General features: G+C 37.7%; 1 protein-coding gene across 12 annotated transcripts in view; it reads left to right on the plus strand.

The window, feature by feature from the left end:
* The window catches only part of IPO5 (importin 5), a 70622-nt gene extending 59884 nt beyond the window's left edge, over positions 1 to 10738 (plus strand). For all 12 annotated transcript variants that reach the window (XM_024449346.2, XM_011521089.3, XM_047430298.1 and 9 more), the window contains 8 exons: positions 484 to 656; positions 1972 to 2083; positions 2168 to 2223; positions 3171 to 3293; positions 4927 to 5146; positions 6023 to 6251; positions 7434 to 7575; positions 8178 to 10738. In XM_024449346.2, the coding sequence (XP_024305114.1) occupies positions 484 to 656; positions 1972 to 2083; positions 2168 to 2223; positions 3171 to 3293; positions 4927 to 5146; positions 6023 to 6251; positions 7434 to 7575; positions 8178 to 8264 (1142 nt within the window). In that variant the 3' untranslated portion in view covers positions 8265 to 10738. The remainder of the gene's footprint in view (positions 1 to 483; positions 657 to 1971; positions 2084 to 2167; positions 2224 to 3170; positions 3294 to 4926; positions 5147 to 6022; positions 6252 to 7433; positions 7576 to 8177) is intronic.
* The last annotated feature ends 1323 nt before the right edge of the window (positions 10739 to 12061 follow it).

A 12061-nucleotide genomic window follows, 5' to 3' on the forward strand; every position in this document is an offset into this window, starting at 1 on the left:
GGATTGCTTTTAAGAGGAAGTTATCAAGACCTTATTTTATAAATGAGATTAGATAGGGAAAGGCAATTTAATCTTTATTAAAAACTGAAAAGGCCAGCATAGGAAGAGGTCCTCGGTGGTCTTTTTCAGGGAAATACTTCAGTTGCTTTTATTAGAAACAGATAGTACCTAAGGTTTTGAGGTAGGTACAGCTTAAGGCATGCTAATGGTCATGGGTCCTTCCATAGTCATTTTTGTATTTTGGTTTACATTTGAGCAATAGGCAGCCCTTCACTGCTGCTGGACTCATTCCTGCCACTATTACAGGTGACAGAGGAGACAGGAGGTATGTCTTTTCTATTTTTATACATGCTTTATATTTAACACAAGCTCTTGGGTATCTTAGATAAACAGAAGTTGCCTAGCACTCCTTTTAGTGCATTGAACCCTTTAACATTTAAGCAAAATAATAAACAGTCTTTTGAGGTTCCTTAACAATGAAACGTGTTCGAGTGGCAGCAGCGGAATCCATGCCTCTTCTCCTGGAGTGTGCAAGAGTCCGTGGTCCTGAGTATCTCACACAGATGTGGCATTTTATGTGTGATGCTCTAATTAAGGCCATTGGTACAGAACCAGATTCAGACGTCCTCTCAGAAATAATGCATTCTTTTGCAAAGGTGAATATTTTTCTCTTAAAAAATATGTATAAGGTTGTATGTTCATTTATTAGTCTTGCTAAAAGTAAAAAAAAAAAATTTGAGACAGGGTATTGCTCTGTCACCCAGGCTGGAGTGCAGTGGCGCAATCGCAGCTCACTGCAACCTCCACCTCCTGGGTTCAAGCAATTCTCATGCCTCATCCTTCCAAGTAGTTGGGATTATAGGCATGCACCACCACACCTGGCTACTTTTTGTATTTTTAGTAGATGTTCCTCAGGTCTCAAACTCCTGGCCTCAGGTGATCCACCTCGGCCTCCCAGAGTGCTGGGATTGCAGATGTAAGGCAGCTAAATAAATTTTTATATGCTATAGTGTATGATTTGTTAAAAAATAAAAATGTTAAATTTTTTGTTTTAATATTTTGGTATTATTATGTTTGTTTTAAAGAGGGTAAATTTGCCTTGGAAGGGCAGTATAGGTAGAGGGAATGATATGGGCAGCAGCATGGAAGCATGCATTCTTTGGAAAAAGAGAAGAAATTCTGAATACTCTAGTATTTTAGTCTTGCACTTAATAATCCAACTATAGAAGCTTGGGTATCATCTCCAGTTTCTGTTCTTTACACTTTCCTCAATTCTTCTCTTTTTTTTTTTTTTCATTGCCCCATCTCTTTTTCATGCCATTGAAATAGCCTCACTTGGGCTACTCCAGATGTCTCCTTTCTTTTCCTCTCAGTTCATTCTCCTTTCCTCAAGCACTGCCTTCCTCTTCATTGAGTCACTTCCTTTCTCATACAGTGTCACTCCCATTTTGCACAACTCTAGTTTGCTCCAATCTTGATTGAAGATTTACAGTTTCTCAGCATCTTTATATGTCCTTATTTACACTCCTGTAATTCAGAATTGCTTCTGATTTTCCAAAGACAGCATGCTTCCATACCTTTGCCTATATTTTATTTCTTCTACCTCTAATGCCCTTCCTTCAGTGTTCTTGTATGTTGTGTGTACGGAGTATGGATATAGCAATTGTGTTCCTTAGGAGCTGGTTGTGTGTGTGTGTGTGTGTGTGTGTGTGTTTTCCATCTTTGAATCCTCAGTACCAAGCATGATGCCTGGCACCTAGGTATGCTCAGTAGTGTTCAAAAGAAAATATTTTTTTCTAACTCCAATCTCTAAAATGCTGTCATTCTAACAAATACAAGCTAAGCATATGTAAATAATCTTCCAGGATACTGAACTGTGTTCATTTTTCCATATGATTCTTAGTGGAGTTTAACTTTGGACTCCAAACACCCCAAATCTTATGGATTGCTTTCTTTCCTCAACCTCATTAGTGCATTGAAGTAATGGGAGATGGATGCCTTAATAATGAACACTTTGAAGAACTGGGAGGTATATTGAAAGCAAAGCTTGAAGAACATTTTAAAAATCAAGAATTACGACAAGGTAAGTTTTCCATGCTTTTATTTCTGAATATAATCCTTGACCATCTTGGCAATCATTTAAAACATTTATTTGGGTGTGTTTTAGTTAAAAGACAAGATGAAGACTATGATGAACAGGTCGAAGAGTCACTACAAGATGAGGTAAGTTATTCCCTTTGGAACTTACTTACGTGACCACTTGCATCTGAAAGACTTGTAAATGCCTCAATTTCTGATTTATGTGACTTGTCATTCTGATGTAATTATCAGTCTTTAGCAGAGGAGTCAGATATATTTCCTCTCTTAATTTATGAATAAGTAATTTGAAATTAAACTGATATGTCTTTCGGTGCTATGTGCATTTTGTTGTAATACCTCACTCAACAAAACACCTTGAGGTTTACCTAGTTCATTTACATACTGCTCACAACAACCATTTGTATTTTGTGGTGCTTTCACTATATTAAAGATGAGTAACCTAAAATTCCAGTGTTAAATGATTGCCTAGAGTCACACTGTTGACGGTCTGGGGCCTTTTTCACCATGTTACTTAGTTCTCTCATCAAACCACCTAGGACTGTCAAGCATACTTCATTGTGTGTTTAGAGTCCAGCATCTCATATGTGGCCACTTGGTGGGCCAGTGCTACCGTGTAGGTAGTACCAGCTTCCTGAAGGTGCCCACATGCTTGTAGGCCCAAATTGCCACTAACAGCGAGACCCCATTCTCCCCACCATCCACCCCGAAATGAGGATTATTCTGCTGAAAACAAAGTAAAAATAGTGAAAACACCTTTGTTTCAGAATGTAGAAATTAGAGATAATTTTTCAACCCATCTATTTTAAGTATGTTCCAAGGAAAATCTTTGCAATAAATACAGTTCTTGCCACACACCTTTGTCTTTCGAGGTAAGACTGGCCTTTGATTAGTAAGAGACATGATAACCCACACTTGAGGGTTACTCCGGTCTCTAGACTCTTGATTTACCCTTAAAACAGGAATGAGAAATTGATTTTCTGCATTTTTTAAGGTTTTTATAAATGTTACTATTGATAATAGAAAATATACTTTTTAATCCATATGAGTGTTTATGTGTATGTTTTTTTTAGGATGATAATGATGTTTATATTCTGACCAAAGTGTCAGATATTTTACACTCAATATTCAGTAGCTACAAAGAAAAGGTGTTACCATGGTTTGAACAGCTGCTTCCATTAATTGTCAACCTCATTGTAAGTGTTACCTCTCTTAATAGTTGTTTTGCGTAGTTTACCTGGAATTCTTTTCACTGCAACGTAAAATCTAATGCTTGAAGTTAAAATGGGTCTCAGAAATGATTGTTTCCATTGTACATCTTTGATTTTATCAAGTTGACTGCATTACCCTGGATATTTTCTCATTCATTATATGCTTGAAGATTCCTAACTTGGTTTTCCATAGGCCAATTCAGTTCTAACACATCTGAAAGATATATAAGTGATTTTTTTTATTATTTCAGATTATCTGTGCCCTCCTAAATTAATAAAAGGAAACAGAATGGTTACTTCTTTTTTAGTGGACCATAGATAATTCAATTATCTTTGTTATGTACTACCAGCAATCATGGATTATGGATAATGGGCATATATATATATATATGTATTTTTTTTTTACCTTCTCTCACCCTTATATTTGATTTTTTTAAAATGTTTTATAGACTTCTTTTTGTTTGTTTGTTTGTTTGTTTTTCTCAAGATGGAGTCTTGCTCTGTCGCCCAGGCTGGAGTGCAGTGGTGCAATCTCGGCTCACTGCAACCTCCGCCTTCTGGGTTCAAGCAATTCAGACGCACGCCACCACACCCGACGAATTTTTTGTATTTTAGTAGAGATGGGGTTTCACCATGTTGACCAGGCTGGTCTCCAACTCCTGACCTAGTGATCCACCCGCCTCGGCCTCCCAAAGTGCTGGGATTACAGGCATGAGCCACTGCGCCCAGGCCTACGCTTCCTATTTTAAAGCAGTTTTAGATTCACAACCAAATTGAACAGGAGGTACAGAGATTTCCCATGTGCCTCTGCCCCTGTGCGTGCATGGCCTCAGCACCATTAACACCCCCCATCACAGTAGTAGATACATGTGTTTCTGTTATGGACCTACATCAACACATCATATAATGGCCTATGTGTATTCAGTTTTTTTGTTTGTTTTGTTTTTTTGTATTTTTAGTTGTGTTTTTTTGTTGGGTTTTTAGTAGAGATGGGGTTTCACCATATCGGCCAGACTGGTCTCAACCTCCTGACCTTGTGATCCGCCCACTTTGGCCTCCTAAAGTGCTGGGATTACAGGCGTGAGCCACCTCGCCTGGCTGTGTATTCGGTTTTTAAAAAATATATTATAAATTAGCAGCTATCATCAGATGTTTGGAATTTTTCTTTTTGGCTTTCAATTTTGCATTTTATTGTATTAAGTAGTGCAGTACATTTTTTAAAAGATTCGGGCACACATGACTTAGCCTGTTGAATAAATGCTATAAGTTAAGATCTTTGCAGCTTTTATTATTATTGTATTTTTTTAATGTAGCATTACCATTGTCTTTTTTACAAAGTAAATTTATATACAATGCTTCCACTGTCAGTTCTTCTGTGTGATAGTGTCAGATTGTAGAGTTCTGTAACAAATCATACAAGTCTTTGAAACCTAAATTTTATTAAATCTGTGTATTTGATTGAATATCGTTGGTCACAAGAAGTGGTTGTTACTATGTTTTCTTTTTTCTTTTGCCTGTATGAGGAATATCAATGTAAGCAGATAGTCTATAGTGAATATTTCTTTACATTCTTTGTGTACACCAGTATTTGAAGCTTAAAAGAGAATTTCTTTTGTAGTGTCCACATAGACCATGGCCAGACAGACAATGGGGATTATGCATCTTTGATGATGTCATAGAACACTGTAGTCCAGCCTCATTTAAATACGCAGAATATTTCTTAAGACCAATGCTCCAATATGTATGTGACAACAGCCCAGAAGTCAGGCAAGCAGCTGCATATGGCCTGGGAGTCATGGCACAGTACGGTGGAGATAATTATCGCCCTTTTTGTACAGGTACGTTTGCTTATTCCGTTACGTGCATTTCATTCCAGACATCCTGTGAATCCCTACTTTACTCTCTTTACCACACTCCCAAACATTATTTGCCTATTTCTGCTGTAGTCTGTTTTCAGACATCTCATCTGTAGCATTTAGGATTTTAGATGATAAAAAGATGATTTATTCTCATAGAAATAGAATCAAAGACATCCCCTGCCCCCAGCCTTCCAGGGTGCATTTCTCTTTGCGTTTTGGCAATATACAACAGCCTTAGAATAGGACTTTTTTTTTTTTCTTTAATTGAGGCCCAGGCTGGAGTGCAGTGGCATGATCTCGGCTCACTGCAACCTCCGCCTCCCGGGTTCGAGCAATTCTGCTTCAGCCTCCTGAGTAGCTGGGACTACAGGCGCATGCCACCACGCCTGGCTAATTTTTTCTATTTTTAGTAGAGATGGGGTTTCACCATGTTAGCCAGGATGGTCTCGATCTCCTGACCTCGTGATCGGCCCACCTCAGCCTCCCAAAGTGCTGAGATTACAGGCGTGAGCCACCACACCTGGCAGAATAGGACTTTTAAAACTTACTGGGGAATATAGTTAGGCAGCTTTTAAAGTTTAAGGACCCTCGGGTGATGTGATGAGTACTGTAAATCTGGAGGCCACTAATCTCTCTGGGTCTCTAAGTTAGTAGAGGGCTAGTGCTCCTGTCCATGCTGGGGCAGTCCCCCCTCTGTTGCCATTCTGTAATGACATAGCCAAGAAGACAACACTTCCCATACACTTTAACATTTCTTTACCATAATCAATATCTGAACCAAATACAAAAATACATATATTCATTTGCATGAAAATGTGAGGTTTTAGCTGAACTTCTTTCAAATGCTTATTTTAGAAGCACTTCCCCTGCTGGTAAGAGTTATTCAGTCTGCGGATTCTAAGACCAAAGAAAATGTCAATGCTACAGAGAACTGCATCTCAGCAGTAGGGAAAATCATGAAGTTCAAGCCTGACTGTGTAAACGTTGAAGAGGTCCTTCCACACTGGTTGTCTTGGCTTCCACTACATGAAGATAAAGAAGAAGCTGTTCAGACTTTCAATTATCTGTGTGACCTGATTGAAAGGTAGGAAAGCAGACTGTGACCTTATTTCCTTCTCCTCCACAGTGCTTCCTGGTTTTTCTTGCCTAACATCAGTCTTTTAAGGTTTAACCACATGATCTCTGCACAGTCCTCAGTTGTATAGGTTTATAATAGTGCTGTCTTTATAAATCATATTAAGAAACCATATCACAGTTAACATTGCCCTTATAATAAGGTCTAATTTTGAGTTATTCTTTATGAAATTAGATTCAACAGATGAGGCACTTTAATTATTTATTTCTTTGTTTTTAAATTTTTTTGGTAGCGACAAGGTCTTAACTGTTTTGCACAGGCAGGTCGCAAACTCTTGGCCTCAAGAGATCCTCCCACCTCAGCCTCCCAAAGTGCTGGGATTACAGGCATGAGCCACCAAACCCAGCCTAAGGGAATGTTGTTTAGTGTCTGTTTTCTAAGTCCAAGTTCCCCCCAAATATCAGTCAGATCTAAGCTCTGTCGCTATTATTATTTTTAGGTTATGAATAAATTCAAGGGCTACAACCACTGCCACTATTGTAGCAATAGGCCAACAGGTATATTCTCCATACTTGTTTAAGTTCAGGTTCACATAAGAAATGGGTTTGAGTCTTCCACTGACCATATCATTAAGGAATGTAACAGCCATCCTGCAGACTACATACTCCTGACCTGCTCCTACATCTGAAATGACCAGGTCTTAATCATGCTATTTGATCATCTTCCTTGGAAACGACTACTCTGAAATTCTCTTAGTGACAAAGACTAGAATTCTTAAATTCGCTATCAGGTTTTTTCCCATTAAACTTGCCTGAGTTTATTTCCCAGTTTATTCTTGAAATGTTTATATAATTTTTTTGAACTTCAGAGTTATTTTAGAAGCTATTTTGTAGTAGCAAAATAAAACTTGTGTTAAACTTATTTTTAATAATACAAAACATTTTTTTTAACACATCACAAATTATTTATAAGGTATTTAGAGCATTCTGTTGTTTGGCCCTTAAAACAATCCTGAGAGATGAGCCCAGTATTTTTTTTTTCTAATTTATGTAGAAAGAAACTAAAGAGTTCATATATAAGATTGGCTGGTTTTCTTCCTACTGAATTTAAAAGGCCATTGATTTTAGTGAACACATAATCATATTTCTCCTTATAAATTTCACTTACTAAGGTTTTCTTCTCATTTGTCAGTAATCATCCAATTGTTCTTGGCCCAAACAATACCAATCTGCCCAAAATATTTAGTATAATTGCGGAAGGAGAAATGCACGAGGCAATTAAACATGAAGATCCTTGTGCCAAACGTCTGGCCAATGTCGTTCGCCAAGTACAGGTAAGCTGATTTGGTTGAATTGGGGAGGGGGAGATAAAACCTTTTTTTCTTTGTAGTCCTCTATGAGAAGAAACTAGAAATCTAATGAGCTAAGGAATTTTATTTTTATATTTTCATAGTCTCTTGTCTCCAAGCCTCAAATGGATTATACTTAATGTAATCCATCCGTATGTACTTATTATTTATTAGAATTAAAACCTTCATCTTAGGACATTTTGAGCTTACCAGTTGGTGCTTAACACAAGCTTATGTGTAGTTTTTCTGCCTATCTTAAGAAAAAAAAACAAGATTTAATAATAACTTGTCATCTGCCAAAAAACTTTATATGATTTTTACTTCCTATATTCATGTGGTATATGGGTTACTTTAAGATGTTACCTGCTTAGTGTAGCTTTTTCAGTGCAAAAATGAAGAAAACTTACTGGAAATGAAATGAACTTTAAAAAAATGAACAGATTTCTTGCTTTTACAATGATACTCATCAAAATAATGTACCTAGGGAGAAGGTATTTTGCCATGATTACAGTTTACCTATGATGATGATTAAAATCCTTCCAAATGAGCATTTCGTCCTAAGTCTGTGAAAATGTTTCTTTCCCTAGACTTCTGGAGGACTGTGGACTGAGTGCATAGCACAGCTCAGTCCTGAGCAGCAGGCCGCCATTCAGGAGCTCCTGAACTCTGCGTGAAGGGCCTTAATGTCACCCACCAGAAAACTAACTCCAAATAAACGCTTACCCTTTCCTTTAGGTTTCTTTGTTTTGTTTTTGAGCAAAAGAGATCGGTAGTGTTGTGTGTAGGCCATTCTTCTGGAGAGCCACAAGCAGGAAGAGCAGCGCTGTGTTGCAGAATGGAGTTTCCATGGATTTCTACCAGACCACTGAAGGAGTTCCTGGAAGCCCTGCGGTAGCTAGCACTGAAGACTATTTTTCTATTGGTATAACCCGCCCACCTGAAGGGGAAAGGGAAATCAAATTAATTTTTCTCGTTAGACATAAGGAAATTTAAGGAAAAACAGCTTTAAGAACAGTTACTCAGCGTAGATGTGTGTTCACACAAATTGCTCTGCATTCAGTGTTCATTGTGAATTGGGAGTGTGAGTCTTTCTGTAGGGTAGAAAGAAGCCTCCTACCCAGCAAACCAGTAGACCCAAAAGTTGAAAAAAACTGATGACAGACAACAAGCATGAAGATGGCATATTTGATGTCACTTTGGTTCTTTTTCCCAGAAGGCTTATACAGTGACTCAGTCGGGAAGCTTTCCAGCTTCCAGCCCTTGAATGTGAAGTGTCATTGGCATGTCTGGCAGTAGTCTCTCATTCACTCCTCAATAAACAACATTGAATACAAAAGAGGCTTGTGTAAAAACTCAGTACTGTCTGGCTTGGATTCATTTCATGTTTTTAATATAAGAATGATCTAATATTTTTTTAAAGTAATAGCTATCAGTAATAGCTGAGTGTTTTTTCCCCTAATATTTTCCTTGTGCAATTCAGACTTAAGCATCGAGTTTTTACCATCTTCCACTTTAAGCTAAGTTATGATACCTATTCCATTCACAATTGGTGTTCTTTTTAAGGTTTGCAAATTTCAGCCAATTTTGTAGCTAAGATTGTTCTGATCAGCTCAAAAAGATTTGGCTTAGTGTTTTCATTGCAAATTATAATTGCTGTAGAGCCACACACAACTTTTGAACTTTTAATTATAAGTGTTATGGCTAAAGTTATTTACTGAAAATTTCAGTAAAATGTGTGAATGTTTCTTTATGTATTAACCTCATAGCAGTAAATGACTTGCTGTTGTTTAATTTTTCTAAGGCATCTTAATAGACTTCTGTTGAAAACTTCAGTGTTAACATTTTTATAGTTTGTACTAAATTTAACCGTGATATAAAAATGAATTTTATGCATAGATCAGAATTTTAAATTAAAGGTTTTTTCTTTAAATGATTTGTATTACTTTATTAAAACTAAATCTGAAATGGAATAGAAAATAGAATGGATTACATACAGATGGTTTCCTTGTTAGCAGATGCCCTTCAAATATATTTTACGTTTGCAGCACAACACCATTGCCCGGAGGCTTCCGAATCTAGCAAAGCAGCATATTAAATGACTCCACCTGCGCAGTCCTTGTGTTCAGTGGATGAATACCTGTGGGCTCTTGTAATGTGTGGTAATATTTGGAGCTTTATAGCCTGTATTCCTTGGGAGAAAAAAATGGGAATTGGAGTAAAAAGTGTGTCAAGACAACCCCTTTCTGCTTTCTTATGTAGCATCTGCAAAGCCGATTCATGTACTGATGCCAATCAGCTAGAGCAATGTAGGCTTTTTTTAATTTAAATTATTACTACACTTTATTACTACACTTGCAGAAAAGAAACATGTTAAAATCATGGCACACCTGCAGAATTTCAGATGACAGTGTGGTCAGAAGATGTTTTTTGGGAGAACCTAGTGTTTGCTGGGCACTATGCTAAGCACTTTGGGAGCAAGAACCTCCTACCTTCCAGTTTAAACACTAGTGGTATTGTCAGATGCCGTTAGTATCTGAGATGTACTTACAGCAGGGTTCTAAGAGCTCTGAAAGAAGCGCTCTGTTAGATGCAGACTGGCAGCATCCTCCTTGATAAAAGCAGAAAAGCAAAGAGGTAATTGGAGTTGAATCAAGTTAATAGGGAAGGTTGGTAGTAAATGCTGTTAGTGTGACATGATTCTGAAACCCAGAGCTCAGAACTAACTGTGAGATGTACCATGAACTAACAATTCTTTGAAAGGACCTGCAGAAGCATTTTTAATACCTCATTCTGTCTATGCAAGATGAAAATCCATGGAGTTTTTTCTTGGCTTTTGTACCAAATTTAGGGGTCTTGCATGTCAGCAAGTGATATATATTGTTTATAAATGCAAGCTATTTCTGGAGGGGAAAAATGTGTGTGGCTCTTACGTTTTCTGGGAATTTTGTAACAAGTTACACGCACAAGTGTTAGAAACTTTGGCATAACTCAATTTGGAGTATTTTTTAAATGCTGTATCTTTAAAGAAAAGTAAAATTGTCTTAAATCTAATTGACACTTCTGTAATGAGAGGCAACCTTATAACTCTGGAGTTGTAGTTTGACAGAACCATCAGTAAAGACATAAGCAAATAAATGGTCTTGGTGCACCTGGTCTGATAATAAATAAGGGGGGTGCTTACTTACAGTCTTGCAAGCATTATATTTTTATGATCTAATCTTTTGAGTGAGTGCCTGTTTAAGCAACGTGAAAGGCTAAGGAGCTAGCTAAATGTTTTAATAACTGCTTCATTCTGCCTAGGAGGATTGTTGGGTCAGTTTTCTCTGCTGCACAGAAATCACTTTGCAGGTCGGGCGCGGTGGCTCACGCCTGTAATCCCAGCACTTTGGGAGGCCAAGGCAGGCGGATCACCTGAGGTCAGGAGTTGGAGACCAGCCTGGCCAACATGGTGAAACCACATCTCTACTAAAAATACAAAAAGTAGCCAGGTGTGGTGGCAGGCACCTGTAATCATAGCTACTCCAGAGGCCGAGGCAGGAGAATCACTTGAACCTGGGAGGCAGAGGTTGCAGTGAGCCGAGATTGTGCCATTGCACTCCAGCCTGGGCAACTGGGTGAGACTCCATCTCAAATAAAAATAAAAAAAAAAAAACGAAATCACTTTGCTTCTCTTAACCTTCTTTGCCACAAAAGATTAACAGCCAAAACCTGCCATGTTTGCTATTCCTAAGCAGATTTTCTTTCTCGGCCCTAAAAGTATGAGTACCACTATTAGAAGAAGAAAGTGAATGATCCACAATGTATGCACATCACACTTGGGAGGAAGCATGAATATTTATTTCCAGCACTTGGAACTTCTGAATGGTGGTGCTGAGGAGCAGGGGTTAATTCTAACAACATCCTGCCCTAGACTTAAACCCTTTTTTCCCCACACAGCTGTAACCCTTACAGTGTATGCCAGACAACATTTGGGCTGATTATTTCTATGTATTTATTATATTTGGATGAATACAAACATTTTAAAGATAAATTATAGCTATATTATTCACTTCTCAATGAATCCAAAAGTGGTACAATATAATTTTTTGTAAAACATTACAAAAAATTTTTTCTAAATTCCACTAAGGCAGCAGAGTATAATTATGAAATCTGTTCTTTCATGATTCAGGAGCTTTCATTGTGTATTTCCTTTTGATTGATCTATCATTTCTGTCCTCTTGACTAGCATTCAGATTGTAATGGAAACCAGAATAGTGCCACTTGATATGAATCAGAAATTAGTTCCCCTATTTCCCCTAAAAGTTTTGTAACAGATGGGTAGAAAATGTAAGAGTTTGGATCAGCCCGACAACTTGCTCCTGTGATCCTAAGGTGCACCATAAAAGACCATGGTGCTGTATGGTTAAGACCAGAGGTTGGCAAATGTGTTCTCTAAGTTCGAGATAGTAAATATTTTAGCACTCGTCACCGA

Source organism: Homo sapiens, chromosome 13 (assembly GCF_000001405.40).
Source record: "Homo sapiens chromosome 13, GRCh38.p14 Primary Assembly".
In the NCBI taxonomy this organism is placed as follows: domain Eukaryota; kingdom Metazoa; phylum Chordata; class Mammalia; order Primates; family Hominidae; genus Homo; species Homo sapiens.